This window comes from Homo sapiens, chromosome 19 (genome assembly GCF_000001405.40).
Source record: "Homo sapiens chromosome 19, GRCh38.p14 Primary Assembly".
NCBI classification, from domain to species: Eukaryota; Metazoa; Chordata; class Mammalia; order Primates; family Hominidae; genus Homo; species Homo sapiens.
Window position 1 is genome coordinate 37,180,911 of NC_000019.10, and position 20,005 is coordinate 37,200,915.

Genomic DNA, 20,005 nt, shown 5'->3' on the forward strand with positions numbered 1-20,005 from the left:
GCAATAAGAGCAAAACTTCATCTCAAAAAAAAAAAAAAAAGCTGCCAAACTTTTTGCCCAAAGTGAATGTAACATTTTACATTTCTACCAACAATGCATGAAAGTTTCCATTGCTCTGCATTGTTGCCAACTCTCAGCATTATGTCTTTATTTTTAGGCATGCTAAAAGGTGTGTACAGGTATCTCATTGTGGTTTTCATTTTCATTTTCTTGAAAATTAAAGATGTCGAGCATCTTTTCATCACCTTATTTTCCATTTTTATCTCATATAACAATATGGATAGATCGCAAATACATCACATTAAATGAAACAAGTCCGACTCAAAAAGAGAGATACATACACATATATAAACAGACAGAGACACACACAGGATGTCTCCATTTATACAACATGTGGAAAAGGCAAAATTATACAGACAGAAAATGGGCTTGTGATCATCAAGGCCTGGGGGTGGGCAAAGGGATGGACTAAAAAGTAATAGGAGGAAATGTAGGGAAGTGAGGGAACTGTTCTCTGTCTTGACTGTGGTATTGACTGCATGATGTAATTGTCAAAACTTTGAGAATTCCACACTAAAAAGGGTGAATATTACTGTATGTAAATTATACCTCAATAAATACGACCTTAAAATATTACAGTCATGTTCACACAAAAACCTGCACACAGGTGTTTATAGCATCTTTATTCATAATCAACAAAACTTGGAAGCAATTAAGGTGTCCTTCAGTAGGTGAATGGATAAATAAGTCATGGTACTTCCAGACAATAGCATATTATTCAATGAGAAAAAAAAAAAAAAAAGAGCTAGCAAGCTACGAAAAGACATGGAAGAAACTTAAATCCACATTACTAAGTGAAACAAATCAATCTGAAAAGGCTGCATACTTTATGGTTCAGAGGCAAAATTATGGAGACAAAAGAAAATAGCCAGGAGTTTAGAGGAGTAGGCGAAACACAGAGGATTATTGGGACAGTGAAACGGCTCTTTATCCTTCTGTAATAATGCATACATGTCATTATTCATTTGTCTCAACCCACAGAATGCACATCAAGACTGAACCCTAATTAAACCATGGACTTTGGCCGATAGTGTCAATGTAGTTTCATCAATTGTAACAAATGTACCACTCTGAAGGGGGATGTTGATGATGGGGGAGGCTGTGTATATGTGAGGGTAGGGGATATATGGGAAATCTCTGTACCTTCTGCCCCATTTTGCTGTGAACCTAAAATTTCTCTAAAAACTAGTCTTTTATATAAATGGGCATACATATACATATATATGTCAGCACTAAAATATCACGTTACAATAAATATAAAGGAGAAATTATTGAAAGTCATGTACAGTGAAATGTGTTTTCCTCCATATTTCCTGGAATTCATGAGGAGTGATACACTTAGGAGTAAGGTAAAATGGGAATAATGAAGGGGACCAGACCTTGTTCTAGGGTATGTTAGGAAGGAAGAGGTGATCTCCAGGCACCCTCCTGAGAGTCAGCTGACATTGTCCTAAGTTGGGGATAATGTTGTATCACAAAATATCCAAAACTGAAGGAAGAATAGTGAAGCTTCAGATACAGTGCTGGATGAGGTGAAGGGAGGTAATGGGTGAGCAGACATTGGTCTAAGATGTTGAGCAGCATGTGATGGGCCATCAGATACTGTGAAGAAGTGAGGAAGCAGAGCTAATGATGGCTCAGTAGACATTGATCTAAGGTGAGGTAATGGGATGTGTCACCAAGCACTGCCCAACTAGGGCTTGGGAATTAAAGGGGCATTGTGGCCCTGCTTCTTTGACTATGTTCTATCCTTTGGGCCCCATCTTCACCTCCCCATACTGCCCTTCTTAAAGGTGAAACCATCTTTGCAGAGCCCAAATAGTTCCCACTCCCAGAACTGCCAATAGACTGGCCCCAGACGCCACCCAGCAACTGTGCATCTAATCAGATCATCTGTCAGCATCTGTAAGGCCACTGCTGCCTATCTAGGGCAAGATACCTAATATCCAATGAAGATCCACCCAAGTCTGCTCTAGTTCCCTGCTATTGGCTTCAGGCACTCCTCTCGGGGCAGGATGAGCAGGTGTGTGGATTGGGTTCTGGAGTAAATGCGGCTCTGTCGAGTTGCAACTGAGACAGGACAGCGCTGTGCATGCTGAGGAAAAATGAGCAGGGAGTCTTTTGCAATCATGTTGGAGCTGTGGGATTCTGGAATCATGGCAGGAAATCCTGGAAGCAAGCATCCACATGGGATTTCCTGTACCTGTTTTCCCTTCTTTAGCATCAGACCAAAAGGTTCACAATGACTTTTTAGCTTTAGGGTTGAGAAGGGATACAGCCCAGGTACAGACTAGAGGTGAAAAAGCCTGGTGTGTTTTAGCCAAGTTGGTTCTCCCTATTAGCGCTTCTTATGCTGCAACACAGAAAAAAATCAGACAGAAGTCACGCAACAAGCATGGGTCAACTCTCCACAGGTGCATTTATGGAATGCCTGCTGTATGGCAGTCATGGGTCTAGACTCATAGTGGTGAACAAAAGGGAAATATTTTCTAGTGTAGAAGCCACAGAGAAATGAGGAAAATACACCAGGCAGCATGGTGGAAATTGCTAGGGAGAAGAATAAAGGAGGAAGGGTAAGGGGCTGGAATTTTAAACCAGGCAGGCAGGGAAGGCCTGTGTGGAGGTGTCATGGAAAAAAAGACATGACGGACAAGCCACAGATAAAATAAAGAATTGTGCTCTTTGCAACGGGCACTGCAAATACAAAGGCCCTGAGTCAGGAACTGATGTTTGAGGCACATGGCGGGGAAGGTCCTTGTGGGGTGCGTGGGACGAAGATGGACACAAGTAGACAGTGAACATATGGTGGGGTTGGTTTTCATATGAGTTATCAATTTCATATGATTTATGATTTATCTCATATCTCATATAATGTAAGATAATGATTTCATGACTTATCAACTTATGAAAGTCAGATCATTAAGGAAAGTAAAATGCTGGGCTTCAACTCAGTCACAAGTAAATTAAAAAAAAAAAAGAGGCAGGCAACTGAGTGAGAAGAATTGTAATAGCAGAAGGAAGAATTTAAGTTCTCCCAGATGACCTGAAAATCCTAACCTCAAAGGCTTTCTTGAGGGTGGTGGGAGTGTACAAAACACTGTGCTGGGCCGGGCGCAGTGGCTCACGTCCGTAATCCCAGGACTTTGGGAGGCCGAGGCGGGCGGATCATGAGGTCAGGAGTTCGAGACCAGCCTGGCCAGCATGGTGAAACCCCCGTTTCTACTAAACATACAAAAATTAGCTGGGCGTGGTGGCACACGCAATCCCAGCTACTCAGGAGGCTGAGGCAGGAGAATTGCTTGAGCCCGGGAGACGGAGGTTGCAGTGAGCCAAGATAGCGCCACTGCACTCTAGCTTGCCCGACAGAGCAAGACTCTGTCTCAAAAAAAGAAAGAAAGAAAGAAAGAAAGAAAGAAAGAAAGAAAGAAAGAAAGAAAGAAAGAAAGAGAAAGAAAGAAAAAGAAAGAAAGAAGGAAAGAAAGAAAGAAAGAAAGAAAGAAAGAAAGAAAGAAAGAAAGAAAGAAAGAAAGAAAGAGAAAGAAAGAAAGAAAAAGAAAAAACACTGTGCTGGGTGTCAAACACAATGTGCTGAGAACCTGTGGGGCTCAGAGAGAGTCCTGGCAGATAATGAAGGGGACTGTAAGTCTTTTTCTATGACAATGGGGACTCAACATACGCTCTGAGGTCTGTGTCTGAATACACAGGGAGTTTGTCTTATTGCAGTATCTCTTGCTTGATAGAAATACTCAATGGGGAATTGGATATGCACAACTGTGTTCGATTCAAAAGAAGAAAATACCCACAATTCTACTAGACAGTGTGTTCTGGAACAAACAACTCACAGAAGGATTCATCACTATCATATATATTATGTTGTCTTACCATTCAAACTGTTGGCACTATACCTAATCCACAGTAAACAGGATTATCATTCCCATAATATGATCTTTCTTATGAAGAATTTGGTAACAGTATTCTATTGTAGTTTTCATGAGAAGGCTTTTCCTATTCACCAAATTGACTCGGTTCCTTGTCAGTATGAATAATGACCCAAGGTTTACTGGGGATGGTGACAATGTAGGAAGGGTCCCTCGCCTCATTCAGTGCCTTCTCAGAGGCCCTCTCCAGAACAGCCATGTGTGACATTCTGATGTGGTCATTTCTATTTACAATAATATACATATTTTTCTGCTGCATGCGTGCAACAGTGTACAATCAGACCCAACCCTCAGGGGGGTTTTCTCACACTGTTTCTCTCAAGCGTGGCTGCTCTGATGAACACTGAACACTGATTTCTGAACGAAGCCTTTCCCACAGATGCCACACTTGTAGGGTTTGTCTCCAGTGTGTGTTGTCTGATGTTTATTCAAATTGGACCTGTTGCTAAAGGCCTTCCCACACTCAGCACACACGTAAGGCTTCTCTCCAGTGTGAATTCGCTGATGCACTTGGAGCTGTGATTTTTTAGTGAAAGACTTCCCACAGTCACTGCACTCATAAGGTTTCTCTCCAGTATGAATTCTGTGATGTGTAATCAACTCTGACTTCTGTCGAAAGGTCTTCCCACATTCAGAACAAATGTAGGGCTTTTCTCCGGTATGAGTTTTCTGGTGCTTACTGAGATTTGACCTGCCACTAAAGGCTTTCCCACACTCGGCACACACATAGGGTTTCTCTCCTGTGTGAACTGGCTGATGCACCAGGAGCTGAGACTTGGAGGTAAAGGACTTCCCACAGTCACTGCATTCATAAGGCTTCTCTCCAGTATGAATTCTTTGATGAGTAATAAAGTTTGACTTGCGGATGAAAGCTCTTCCACACTCAGTGCATACATAGGGTTTCTCTCCTGTATGAATTTTCTGATGAACAATGAGTATTGATTTCTGGTTGAAGGCTTTCCCACATTCGTGGCATTCATACTGTCTCTCTCCAGTGTGAATTTTCTGATGTATATTAAGATTTGACTTCTGAGTAAAGGCTTTTCCACAAGTATTGCATTCATAAGGCTTCTCCCCAGTATGGATTCTCTGATGTGTAATCAAGTCTGACCTCTGGGTGAAGGCCTTTCCACATTTGGAACATATATAAGATTTCTCTCCTGTATGAGTTTTCTGATGTGTAATGAGATTTGACCGGTTGGTGAATGCCTTCCCACATTTATTGCATACATAGGGCTTTTCTCCTGTGTGAATTCGTTTATGAACATGGAGTTGTGACTTGGAAGTAAACAATTTCCCACAGTGACCACATTTATAAGGTTTCTCTCCAGTATGAATTATTTGATGTGTAATCAAGTGTGCCTTCCGGATGAAGGCCAGTCCACATTTCATGCATATATACGATTTTTCTCCTGTATGAATTCTCTGATGCACTGTGAGTGCTGACTTCTGAGTGAAGGCTCTCCCACAGTCACTGCATTCATAAGGTTTCTCTCCAGTGTGAATTCTCTGATGAATAATCAACTCTGACCTGTAGGTAAAGGCCTTCCCACACTCAGTACATATGGAAGATTTCTCTCTACTTTGAATCTTCTCATGTGTAATGAGGTTGGAATTATTGCTGAAGACCTTCCCATATTCGGTACATATATAGGGCTTCACTCTTGTGTGAACACGTTGATGTACCTGAAGTTGTGACTTGGAAATGAAGGATTTGCCACAGTTATTGCATTCATATGGTTTTTCTCCACTATGAATTCTTCGGTGTGCAATCAATTGTGTTTTCTGGATGAAGGCCTGCCCGCATTCAATACAGATGTAGGATCTCTCGCCTGTATGGATTTTCTGATGAATCTTGAGTGTGGACTTTTGTGTGAACGCTTTGCCACAGTCAGTGCATTCATGGTGTCTCTCTCCAGTATGAATTTTCTCATGTATACTGAGATCTGAGTTATAAGGGAAACCTTTCCCACATTCACTACATTCATATAGTTTTTCTCCGGTATGAATTCTGTGATGCCTGAAAAGAGACGATACTTGAAAAAAGGATTTTCCACATTCATTGCACTTATAGGGCTTCTCTCTCATATGGGTTTTCTGATGTGTGATGAATTCTGGCTTCTGTACAAAAGCCCTCCCACATTCAATACATACATAGAGTTTTTCTCCTGTAGGAACTTTCAGATGTACCTTGAACTGTGACTTCCAGGTGAAGCTCTTTCCAAATTCAGCACACTCATAGGATTTTTCCCCAGAATAAATTTTTTGATCTTGAGAGGAAGCTGGTTTATAACCGATGATTTTTCTATGTTGATTATGGTCCCATAATTTCTCTCCTGTTGGAGTACATTCACAGTAAGTATAGAAAGACATTTTACCATAGTTAGTACTCTTCTTAACATTCTTTGAAGCATCGTTTCTATCATGAATGTGTAGATCTAAATTATGCTTCAAGCCATTTCCAAATAAGTCACACTGATAGGGTTTTTAGGGGGATGTAAAATGTTTGGGTTCACATGAATTATCCTTCTGATAGCCTTATATTCATAATGCCTATTTGTAGTCAATATTTTCTTGATTAAAGCAACATCACTTAGATACTTATTTTCTTTTCTGATAATATTCTATCTGGTTATCAGTCTGTCACTGTTATTCTAGAATGAAATACAATCTCACATCATCTCTATCATCATCTTCCCTTTCATTGTGGAAAGAAGTCTTTTTTTTTTCCAGAGATTCCCTGTAATAAGGTTTGAAATCCAAACACTTTTTCAAGGGATAATAAGTCACTTTTTGCTTATAGAGCAGCTAGCAGAGGCTAGAGGGGAAGGTAAAAATGGCTTATCCAGCTTGAACACAGAGAAAAGGGTAAGGGTGAGTAATTTCATGAGAAGGGTGTGACACTACTTAAATGAAACATTCTGGGGAACAATTCAGCAGTTAAAAGAAATAAACTAGATGAACAGATAACACCATGGATAGACATGGAAAAAGGCAAAAAACATGATATATAGCATAATAAGATTTATATAAACTAATGATCCATGCCCCTAATTCACTTTAAATTTTACAACATGCACGAATTAAAAAATGCTTCCATTATACAAAACAGTGGCTTCTGGTGGGAAGGCAGATGGGTGAGGGGAAAGAGAGAAAAGGGGATATTATCACAAAAATAAAATGAGAATCTTCACCCACATTTTCATGGTCATAGTGTGTCCTAAACTAAAGACAATGATTAAACTCAAACCTCATCAGGTGAAATATAAAAATAAAGCAATGACAAAAACAAACAAGCCCGGGCATGGTGCCTCATACCTGTAGTCCCAGCACTTTGGGAGGCTGAGGCGGGCGGATCACCTGAGGTCGAGAGTTGGAGACCAGCCTGACCAACATGGAGAAACCCCAACTCTACTAAAAATACAATGTTAGCTGGGCGTGGTGGCTCATGCCTGTAATCCCAGCTACGTGGGAGGCTGAGGCAAGAGAATCGCTTGAACCCGGGAGGCGGAGGTTGCAGTGAGCCGAGATCGTGCCATTGCACTCCAGCCTGGGCAACAAGAGTGAAACTCCGTCTCAAAAATAAATAAATAAAAATAAAAATACAAAAATTAGCCAGGCGTGGTGGCCCACCCCTGTAATCCCAGCTACTCGGGAGGCTGAGGCAAGAGAATCATTTGAACCTGGGAAGTGGAGGTTGCAGTGAGCCAAGATTGCGCCACTATACTCCAGCCTGGGCGACAGAGTGAGACTCCCTCTCAAACAAACAAACAAACAAACAAAGCCAACCAGGAAGAGAGACCCTAACAGTGTGGAATCGCTCAAGCAACATCAGAAGGAAATGTGAGAAAGGGTGATTAATCCATGCCATGTCAAACACAGCAGAGAGGTATTCCCAAAGATTAAGTGACAATGATTCCCAAGTCATTAGCTGGATGAAAGGCCTGAAGGACTGGGAAGATAAGAGAAATCTCATGGCCATTACTATAGCAAAAATAGTTAGAGAGCCTGACTGGAAATAAAGTTCTTTTTTTTTTTTTTCTTTTTCAGACTGAGTCTTGCTCTGTCACCCAGGCTGGAGTGCAATGGCATGATCTTGGCTCACTGCAACCTTCACTTCCCGGGTTCAAGTGACTCTTGTGCCTCACCCTCCCAAGTAACTGGGATTACAGGCATGCACCACTACACCCAGCTAATTTTTGTATTTTTAGTAGAGATGGGGTTTTGCCATGTTGTCCAGGCTGGTTTCAAACTCCTGACCTCAAGAGATACACCCACCTTGGCCTCCCAAAGTGCTGGGATTACAGGCATGAGCAACTGTATCTGGCCCAGAGATAAAGTTCTGAGGCATCTCACAGTGAGAAAGACAGAAATAAAAGGGGTGTAGCACGAGTGGGAGTGTGTGACACAGAGTAAATTTTGAAAGAAAGCAGATCCAGGAATACCTGGATGTAAACGAGAGACTCTAGGACAATATGGAAGGCAGGGAAAAAAAGACTGTTACAGAAAAGGAATATAATAAAGATTTATCTTTAATGAGGCTGACTGGCACATGACTTATAATCAACAAGGAAGGTCATCCAGGTAGAAGGCATTTAGTGATCTGAGAGGCATCAAGCAATATAAAAAATTCAGAGCCTTACTGAAGAGTGGTCTTAATAGCACTTCACAGGTTCCAGTGTTTTTCAAGACAGCTGAGATTTCCTCCTGTCTCCCATCTAACCTGAGTCACATTCACCTCACTTCACTCACCTGGGCAGCTGTGACGTGGCCTCTCACCCTGCAGTGCCCATGGTTCCTTTCCTTGCTCCAACATGACCACCTCTGGTTTAGGAACTTGATACCCTGTTCATGGGAAATGATAAAGGTCTGGGTCCAGCTAATTACGTTTCAGAGCCCAACAAATACAGTCTTATTGTTCAATGATGGTTTGTTCTTTAGGAAAGTAACCAGATATCTCTGAGTAATATTCTGAGTACCCTAAACAAACAGAGAACCCTGGAGGAAAAAAGGACAAAACCATCACCTATCTAAGATGCCAACAGCATTCGTCAACTGAGAATGAAAACACTCTCAGTGAGGCCTCCTTTCAGATACCAAGGTGACTGTGCTTACCTACTGAGAGCAGGTGGCTGTAGGTCTCCAGCATCACATCCCGGTACAGGTTTCTCTGAGAAAGGTCCAGGTGCCGCCATTCCTCTCTGCTGAAATCGATAGCCACATCCCTGAAGGACACTGATCCCTGTAAGGGCACATTCCTGTTCAATGTGCATAGTCAGCTTTGCACGGTGGAGTGACTATATATGGGATTACGGAACATGGGTTTTGTTGTTTTTAATTTACTTCATTTTTTTTTTGAGACAGTCTTGCTCTGTTCCCCAGGCTGGAGTGCAGTGGCGCGATCTTGGCTTACTGCAACCTCCACCTCCCGGGTTCAAGTGATTCTCCTGCCTCAGCCTCCTGAGTAGCTGGGATTACAGGCACGTGCCACCACACCCAGCTAATTTTTGTATTTTTAGTAGAGACGGGGTTTCACCATGTTGGCCAGGATGGTCTCAATCTCCTGACCTTGTGACCTTGTGATCCGCCCACCTCGACCTCCCAAAGTGCTGGGATTACAAGCTTGAGCCACCGCATCTGGCCGTTTTTGTTTTTGTTTTTGTTTTTTTTCCTTGAGATGGAATTTCACTCTTTTGGCCCAGGCTGGAGTGCAATGGCGTGATCTTGGCTCACTGCAACCTCCACCTCCCAGGTTCAAGCAATTCTCCTGCATCAGCCTCCTGAGTAGCTGGGATTACAGGTATGTGCCACCATACCCGGCTAAATTTTGTATTTTTAGTAGAGACTGGGTTTCACCATGTTGGCCAGAATGGTCTCTATCTCCTGACCTCGTGATCTTCCCGCCTCGGCTTCCCAAAGTGCTGGGATTACAGGAGTGAGCCACCGCGCCTGGCCAATTTACTTCCTTTTTAAAGAACCTGCCACTCATTTCCCTAATAGCTTATTACGAAAAATTTTAAACATACAGAAAATTAGAAAGAATTGTACAGTAAAAACCTATATATCTACTACTTAGATCTACCATTAACACCTTACCCTACTTGCTTCATCACACATTGATCCATCTTACTTTTTTTTATGTATTTCAATGTAAATTGCAGTCATCACTACACTTTCTCTTAAGCACCACAAAATGCAAATTATTAACTAGGGTGTAACATTTGTTAACCTGATAAGGTAAAATTTAGTACAATACAAATAAATGCAACAATCTTTATTTTGCCATTTGACCTTGTGACAAATGTATACACCTGAGTGATAAGAAATTTCTAAGAAATAATATTTTACATAGGTCACATATTAAATATCCAGTTTTAGCTGGGGTGCAGTGGCTCACGCCTGTAATCCAAGCAAGAATGTCAGAGGGGGCCGGACACGGTGGCTCATGCTTGTAATCCAAGCACTTTGGGAGGCCAAGGTAGGTAGATCACCTGAGGTTTGGAGTTCGAGACCAGCCTGGCCAACATGGTGAAATGCCGTCTCTATTAAAAATACAAAAAATTAGCCAGGCTGGTGGCACGTGCCTGTAGTCCCAGCTATTTGGGAGGCTGAGGAGGGAGAATCACTTGAACTTGGGAGGTGGAGTTTGCAGTGAGCTGAGATTATGCCACGGCACTCCAGCCTGAGCGACAGAGGGAGACTCTGTCTAAAAAAAAAAAAAAAATCTAGTTTTACATAATTTGTGGAACACAGAAATCTAACAAAGAATTCCAGCTATTTGTTCTGTTCTACAGTCAGTCAATCACTCATTTTTCAAAACTGGCCATTGAAATAGGCTGTCTTGGCTGGGCCCGGTGGCTCATGCCTGTAATCCCATCACTTTGGGACGCCGAGGTAGGTGGATCACGAGGTCAGACGTTCAAGACCAGTGTGGCCAACATAGTGAAACCCTGTCTCTACTAAAAATACAAAAAATTAGCCGGGCATGGCGAGCACCTGTAATCCCAGCTACTCAGGAGGCTTAGGCAGGAGAATCGCTTGAACCTGGGAGGCGGAGGTTGCAGTCAGCCGAGATCATGCCACTGCATTCCAGCCCGGGATACAGAGCAAGACTCCATCTCAAAAAAAGAAAGAAAGAAAGAAATAGGCTGCCTTTTAGTCTTCTAGCACATGGATGAACAACCTGCCACACAGTGGCTGATCAATTTAGGACCAGTCATTATGCTACTCCTGAGGACACAGAAATGAATTATTTATGTTACTAGTCTTCACGCAACCTGAAATACATAGAAAATAAATAAGACCAAAGTTTGAAAAAGTGAAGACATTAAGTTCATTAAGGTGCTGAAAAGTAGATCTCTATCTGAGACACCCTGAGGGCTAAAAAGAAGAAAAAGTGCATTCTACATGAGGAAATAAGTTTACATTTCATAGAGCGGAAGAATTTAACTTGGAAGATAAGAAGAGTAATACAAAGTATGGGGTAAGGGGGACATTGCCCAGCAAAGACAAGAACAAAAAGATGGGGAGATGGGCTCCAGTGAGCCACGATTGCATCACCGCACTCCAACCTGAGTGACAGAGCGAGAACCTGTCTCAAAAAAAAAAAAAATAAAATAAGGCCGGGCGCAGTGGCTCATGCCTGTAATCCCAGCACTTTGGGAGGCCGGGGCAGGTGGATCACCTAAGGTCAGGAGTTCGAGACCAGCCTGGCCAACATGGTGAAACCCCATCTCTACTAAAAATACAAAAAATTAGCCAGGTGTGGTAGTGTGTGTCTGTAATCCCAGCTACCCAAGGCAGAGGTAGGAGAATCGCTTGAACCTGGGAGGTGGAGGTTGCAGTGACCCAAGATTACGCCACTGCACTCCAGCCTGGGTGACAGAGTGAGACTCCATCTCAAAAATAAATAAACAAATAAATAAATATTAAAATACACAATGAGGGCCGGGCACAGTGGCTCACGCCTATTATCTCAACAACTGGGGAGGCCGAGGTGGGTGGATCACGAGGTCAGGAGTTTGAGACCAGCCTGGCCAACATGTTGAAACCCCCTCTCTACTAAAGATACAAAAAATTAGCTGGGCACAGTGGCACATGCCTGGAATCCCGGCTACTTGGGAGACTGAGGCAAGCGAATCGCTTGAAGCCAGGAGGCAGAGGTTGCAGTGAGCCGAGATTGCGCCACTGCATTCCAGCCTGGGCGACAGTGCAAGACTCCATCTTAAAAACAAAACAAAACAAAAAAAAACACCACATGAGTTTAAAGAACAGCAAATAGGGCTGGACATGGTGGCTCACACCTGTAATCCCAGCACTTTGGGAGGCCGAGGCGGGCAGATCATGAGATCAGAAGATTGAGACCATCCTGGCTAACATGGTGAAACACCATCTCTACTAAAAATACAAAAAATTAGCTGGGCGCAGTGGCGGGCGCCTGTAGTCCCAGCTAGTCAGGAGGCTGAGGCAGGAGAATGGCGTGAACCCGGGAGGCAGAGCTTGCAGTGGGCCGAGATTGCACCACTGCACTCTAGCCTGGGTGACAGAGCAGGCCTCTGTCTCAAAAAAAAAAAAAAAAAGAGAACTAAGGCCAGGGCAGGGGCTCACGCCTATAGTCACAGTATTTTGGGAGGCCGAAGTGGGTGGATTGCTTGAGCCTAGGAGTTTGAGACCAGCCCAGGCAACACAGTGAGACCCTGTCCCTAAAAAAATACCAAAAAAATTAGCCATGCCTGGTGGCAGGCACCTGTAGTCCCAGTTACTCGGGAGGCTGAGGTCGGAGGATCGACTGAGCCCGGGAGGTCGAAGCTCCAGTGAGCCGTTAATGCACCACTGCACACCAGTCTGGGTGACAGAGGGAGACCCTGTCTCAAAAAAATAAATAAAACTTAAAAAGTAAGAGACTTACGAATCATACTAACCAAATGCACCTTGTGGACTTTGGCCCCTAATTAAAATGAACCAATCTTAAAAAGATATTTACAACAATTTAGAGAAATGCAAGCAATGGGTATTAGATGATAACAAAGAATTACTGTTATTTTGTTGTAGGTGTGATATTGACTTATTTGTTATGCTAAACAAAAGAAAAAAGAATTCATCTCTTTGAGATACATATCAAAGTATTTTTAGATAAAACATTGTGTTTGAGATTCACTTTAAAATAATCCAGGAGCTGTGTAGGAAGGTGGTTTCAGATGAAATAAGAATGGCAGAATGTTGATGATGACTGAAACTGGGTAAAAGGTACAATAGGTGAACAGGTTGCTTATACTATTCTCTTTACTTTTGTATATATTTAAATTTTTTCGTAATAACATGTTTTTGAAAAATATGATCCTCCAAATAAAAAATCTAATTTGGAATTGCACAGTTAAAGGAATGCCTATTTCCACATGGTGTACATATTTAAAGAAAAGTATTGGCTGGGTGCAGTGGCTCACACCTGTAATCCCAGCACTTTGGGAGGCCGAGGCACATGGACCACCTGAGGTGAGGGGTTCAAAACCAGCCTGGCCAACATGGCAAAACCCCATCTCTGCTAAAAATACAAAATTAGCTGGGCATGGTGGCGCATGCCTGTAATCCCAGCTACTTGGGAGGCTGAGGGAGGAGAATTGTTTGAACCTGGGAGGTGGAGGTTGCAGTGAGCCAAAATCACGCCATTGCACTCCAGCCTGGGCAACAAGAGCAAGACTCCATCTCAAAAACAAACAAACAAACAAAGTATACTAGGGACTTGAATACCCTTCCCTCACCTCAGCAATTTATCAAAATACTAGACAGGAAATCATCAAATATACAGAAAAAGAAGCAACAGTATTTAATTGATATTTATAGACTACTGCAACAAACAACAGCAGAATACACATTCTTTTCAAGAATCATAGAAAAATGACCAAGATAGACCATACCCTAGGCTATAAAACCAACCTCAACAAATTTAAATGAATAAAATACAAAGTATGTTCCACAAGGAAATCAAACAAAAAATCAATAACAGAAAGACCACAGAAAAGTCTCCAAAGGAATTAAAAAATAAAAACAAAAGCTTTCTGGAAAAGCAAAAACTATTTGGAAATTAATAACCCACAGTTAAATGACCTATAGGTCAAAGAAGAAATCTCAAAGGTCATTTTAAAAATAAATACACCTGGCCGGGCATGATGGCTCAGCCTGTAATCCCAGCACTTTGGGGGGCCGAGGCGGGTGGATCACATGAGGTCAGGAGTTCGAGACCAGTCTGGCCAACATAGTGAAACCCCATCTCTACTAAAAATACACAAAATTAGCAGGGCGTGGTGGCACGCACCTGTAGTCCCAACTACTTGGGAGGCTGAGGCAGGAGAATCACTGGAACCCGGGAGGAGGAGGTTGCAGTGAGCCGAGATCATGCCACTGCACTCCAGCCTAGGCAACAGAGCGAGACTCTGACTCAAAAAAAAAAAAAAAAAAAAAAAAAAAAATTCAGGAAAACAAAACAAAAAACAGAAAAAAAAAGTCAATAAAACACAATCCAGTTGTTGGGGAGAAAAAATCAACAAAATGCGGCTGATTGGCCTGTTAGTCAACTAGACTGATGAAAATAAAAAGACACAAATCAGCAATATCAGGAATAAAACAGGAAATATCATGACAGATTCAGGAACCATTAAAAGAAAAATATGGGAATACAAACACTTATTTAGATAAACTAAATAAATTAGCTTATTTAGATAAGATAAATAATCTTATAACTATTAAATTACATTCATAATTTAAAAGTTGGTGAAAAGAAATTTCTAGGCCTAGTTTTGCCAGAGAATTCTACCAAACTTACAAAGAAGAATTAGTCTTGGCCGGGTGTGGTGGCTCATGCCTGTAATCCCAGCACTTTGGGAAGCTGAGGCGGGCAGATCACCTGAGGTCAGGAGTTCAAGACCAGCCTTACCAATATGGAGAAACCCCGTCTCTACTAAAAATACAAAATTACCTGGGCGTGGTGGTGCATGCCTGTAATCTCAGCTACTCGGGAGGCTGAGGCAGGAGAATCGCTTGAACCCAGGAGGCAGAGGTTGCGGTGAGCCAAGATTGTGCCACTGCACTCCAGCCTGGGCAACAAGAGCAAAACTCTGTCCCCCTCAAAAAAAAGAAGAAGAAGAAGAATTAATGTGATTTTTACACAAACTCTTCCAGAAAATCAAAGAGGAAGACCTCTTCCAAATTAACTTTGTACAGCCAGTATTACTCTGACATCAAAACCAAAGAAAGCACAAAAAAAGAAAACTATAGACCAGTATCTTTCATAATTTTAGGTACAAACATCCTCAACAAAATATCAGCAAACAATCCAGCAATGAATAAAAAGAATCGTGTACTACAATAACTGAAATTCATGGGGGAACCCTCTGTATCATTTTGTAATTCTCTGTGGATCTATAATTATTTCAAAATAAAAAGTTTTAAAAAATATACTCCTAAAGAAAGATTATTCCAAAACATTTGGAATATTTTGGAATAGTTATGACTGGAAAATCATTGACAAGACTCACTGTACAAGTCACATGAGAGAATGTGAATTACAGTTCACCTTTGAACCACATGGGTTTGAACTATGTGGGTCCATTTGTAACACAGATTTCTTTTTTCAGTAAAATTACACCGAGTGTGCCTCCCTCTCCTGCCCTCCCTTTTACCTTCACCTCTTCCCCCTTTGCCACCCAAAACAGCAAGGCCAAACTCTCCTCTTCCTCAGCCTCCTTAACCTGAAGACCATAAGGGCAAAGACCTTCATGATGATTCACTTCCACTTAATAAATAATAAATATATTTTCTCTTCCTTTTGATTTTCTTAAAAGCATTTTCTTTTCTCTAGCTGAATTTTATTATAAAAATACAGAATATAATACATATACCATACAAAATACATGTTAACCAACTCTTTGCTATCGGTAAGTTAACAGCAGGCTATCAGTAGTTAAGTTTCAGGGATGGTCAAAAGTTATACACAGCTTTTCAACTGCACAGAGGTTAGCGCCCCAAGCCTGCATCGTTTGAAGGACAACTGTGCTTAGTATAATTGCGGTTTCTGCCATTTTTTCTTTTTATTATACTTTAAGTTCTAGGGTACATGTGCACAACGTGCAGGTTTGATACATAAGTACATATGTGCCATGTTGGTGTGCTGCACCCATCAACTCATCATTTACATTAGGTATTTCTCCTAATGCTATCCCTCTCCCAGCCCCCCACCCCACAACAGGCCCCGGTGTGTGATGCTCCCCACCCTGTGTCCAAGTGATCTCATAGTTCAATTCCCACCTACGAGTGAGAACATACAGTGTTTGGTTTTCTGTCCTTGTGATAGTTTGCTCAGAATGATGGTTTCCAGCTTCATCCATGTCCCTACAAAGGACATGAAATCATCCTTTTTTATGGCTGCATAGTATTCCATGGTGTATATGTGCCACATTTTCTCAATCCAGTGTATCACTGATGGACATTTGGGTTGGTTCCACGTCTTTGCTATTGTGAATAGTGCCGCAATAAACATACATGTGCATGTGTCTTTATAGTAGCATGATTTATAATCTTTTGGGTATATACCCAGTAACGGGATTGCTGGGTCAAATGGTAATTCTAGTTCTAGATCCTTGAGGAATCGCCACACTGTCTTCCACAATGGTTGAACTAATTTACACTCCCACCAACAGAGTAAAAGCGTTCCTATTTCTCCACATCCTCTCCAGCATCTGTTGTTTCCTGACTTTTTAACGATTGCCATTCTAACTGGCGTGAGATGGTATCTCATTGTGGTTTTGATTTGCATTTCTCTGATGACCAGTGATGATGAGCATTTTTTTCATGTGTCTGTTGGCTGCACAGATGTCTTCTTTTGAGAAGTATCTGTTTGCCATTATTTTTAATGGCAAAACCGCAATTACTTTTGCACCAACCTAATACATAAAGTAAGGCTATAATGTTAACAGGGATGTAGAAGGAAAATGGCACTAATTATTAGGGAGGCAGACCTGATGTTGAATATGAAGGTGAGAAAAAGGATTAAGAAATAATTCTTAGTCATCAATTTTGTGTCACTATGTACATTCTGGTGCCAGGAATGTGTAGAGAAGGCTGAGGAAATAAAAAAAAATGACTTAAATTTTGTATATGTTGAGATTTAGCTGACAGGATATATACGAGGGTGTACACTAGGTGGTGGATAGAGAGCTTATGATTAATTGTGATAGAGATTAGCTGAATAGAGAGCTTATTTATTTATTTTATTATTATTATTTTTTGAGATGGACTTTTGCTCTTGTTGCCTGGGTTGGAGTGTAATGGCGTGATCTTGGCTTACTGCAACCTCCGCCTCCCGTGTTCAAGCGATTCTCCTGCCTCAGCCTCCCCAGTAGCTGGGATTACAGGCATGTGCCACCATGCCCGGCTAATTTTTGTATTTTTAGTAGAGACTGGGTTTCTTCATGTTGGTCAGGCTGGTCTCAAACTCCCTACCTCAGGTGGTCCACCAGCCTCAGCTTCTCAAAGTGCTGGGATTACAGGCATGAGCCACCAGGCCAGGCCATTCCAGTGTTTTACAAGCACTTTGGGAGGCCAAGGCGCAGATCACCTGAGGTCAGGAGTTCAATATCAGCCTGACCAATGTGGAGAAACCCCAACTCTACTAAAAATACAAAAATTAGCTGGGTGTGGTGGCACGTGCCTGTAATCCCAGCTACTTGGGAGGCTGAGACAGGAGAATCTCTTCAACCCAGGAGGCAGAGGTTGCAGTGAGCCGAGATTGCGCCATTGCACTTCAGCCCGGGCAACAAGAGTGAAACTCTGTCTCAGAAAAAGAAAAAAAAAAAAAAAAAGAAAGCTATATTATTAATATAGTCACAATATTATTTATTGTATAAAGATTCAGAGGTCCTTTGTATAGAGGTCACTGGATTCAGGGGAGGGTATGAGCATGCAGATGGAAGTGGAAAGAAAAGTACTAAAGATATTTATAATTTTTAATATGTAAAATTATGATTTTTGAAAGCTACCTTGTTGATTTCTTCATTTAACTGCATTCAGAGATTACAGTTTGTCTCTTGTGATGCATATTGATTGTGCTTATAGGGCTCAGAACATCATTTCTTTGAAAATGGTACCTATATACCTGAAAAGAATATACATGTTCTAATTTTTCTCTTTATCATACACTTGTATAGTCACACCCTACACACACCAAACTCCCCAACCCCCAAACCCTATGTTATCAAGAATTTAGTAGGAACACGAGATGTCATGTTAGGCTGGAATAGAGCTTTACCACCTCACCAAATGAGCTTCTTATACACAGTTTGTCCAGGCTGGGTGCAGTGGCCCATGCTGTAATCCTGGGATTTTGGGAGGCTGAGGCAGGCAGATTGCTTGAGCCCAGGAGTTCAAGACAAGCCTGGGTAACATGGTGAAACTGTCTCTACAAAAAATACAAAATTTCGCCAGTTCTATTGGCGCGTACCTGTAGTCCCAGCTACTCGGCAGGCTAAGGTGGGGGGATCGATTGAACCTGGGAAGTCCAGGCTACAGTGAGCCGTGATTGCACCACAGCACTCCAGCCTGAGGATAGAGTGAGACCCCGTTTCAAAAAACAATTAAAATAACAGTTTGTCCAGGAAGAAACCTCCTCACTCAAAGATAATACTAAGCATCGCCTAATGTACAAAGATACTATGAGCAAAAAGGATAAAACAAAAATAGAGAGGAGATTAAAAGGAATACACTACAAATAATATACTACAAATAAATTGACACACAACAGAAAAAACATCCACCATGAATTCAAGGAATTCACTATAATTATAACTACTTAAAATAATTAAACAGGCCAGGCGCTGTGGCTCATGCCTGTAATCCCAGCACTTTGGGAGGCCGAGGTGGGTGGATCATGAGGTCAGGAGCTCGAGACCAGCCTCACCAACATGGACAAACCCCGTCTCTACTAAAAATACAAAATTAGCTGGGCATGGTGGCACATGCCTGTAATCCCAGCTACTAGGGAGTCTGAGGCAGGAGAATCGCTTGAACCTGGGAGGTGGAGGTTGTGGTGACCCGAGATGGCGCCACTGCACTCCAGTCTGGGCAACAAGAGCGAAACTCCGTCTCAAAAATAAATAATAAAATAAAATAAAATAAAATAAAATAAAATAAAATAAAATAATTAAACCCAAGGAAGAAATAGTGGAAAAACAGATAGGCTAAGAATGTGGTTATGTAAATTTTTGAAAAATAAATTGGCAGAACTCAGTAAAGTTTTTTTGTTTTTCAAGCAACACAGAAATAAAGGTCTCCTTGAAAGCAATGAAAAGACCCTGCTAAAACACAAAAGGTAGGCCAGGCACGGTGGCTCACGCCTCTAATCCCAGCACTTTGGGAGGCTGAGGTGGGTAGATCATGAGGTCAGGAGCTCGAGACCAGCCTGGCCAATATGGTGAAATCCTGTCTCTACTAAAAATACAAAAATTAGCCAGGCATGGTGGCGCGCGCCTGTAATCCCAGCTCCTCAAGAGGCTGAGGCAGAAGAATCGCTTGAACCCGGCAGATGGAGGTTGCAGTGAGCCGAGATCGTGCCACTACACTCCAGCCTGGGTGACAGAGCAAGATTCTGTCTCAAAAAAAAAAAAAAAAAAAAGCACAAAAGGTGGCAAAGACAAGTGAGCAACATAAAATGGAAATAAGGAGTTTCAAAAAGAAAATAGAAAAAAAGAATTTAATAAAAACATCTAATTAAAAAATCCTTGAAGTGGCAGTATAGAACTTTTATTGTTATTCACAGTATAAATTTAATAGTCTTAAACGATAGATATAAAGATTGGGTTAAAGAAGGTAATGTTATAAAGCCGCCACTAAAAGAACAAAAGAAAAAACAGAGGCCAGGCACGGTGGCTCACACCTGTAATCCCAGCACTTTGGGAAGCTGAGGCAGGCGGATCACCTGAGGTCAGGAGTTTGAGACCATCCTGCCCAACGTGGTGAAA

The 20,005-nt window shown here is 41.8% G+C and overlaps 1 protein-coding gene across 1 annotated transcript in view; it reads right to left on the reverse strand.

The window, feature by feature from the left end:
- Positions 1-668: 668 nt before the first annotated feature.
- ZNF585B (zinc finger protein 585B) overlaps positions 669-20,005 on the reverse strand; it is a 28,958-nt gene continuing 9,621 nt past the window's right edge. The window contains exons 3-5 of the mRNA NM_152279.4: positions 9,114-9,240; positions 8,751-8,843; positions 669-6,334 (exon numbers count right to left, since the gene is read on the reverse strand). Of these exons, the coding sequence (NP_689492.3) occupies positions 4,317-6,334; positions 8,751-8,843; positions 9,114-9,240 (2,238 nt within the window). The 3' untranslated portion in view covers positions 669-4,316. The remainder of the gene's footprint in view (positions 6,335-8,750; positions 8,844-9,113; positions 9,241-20,005) is intronic.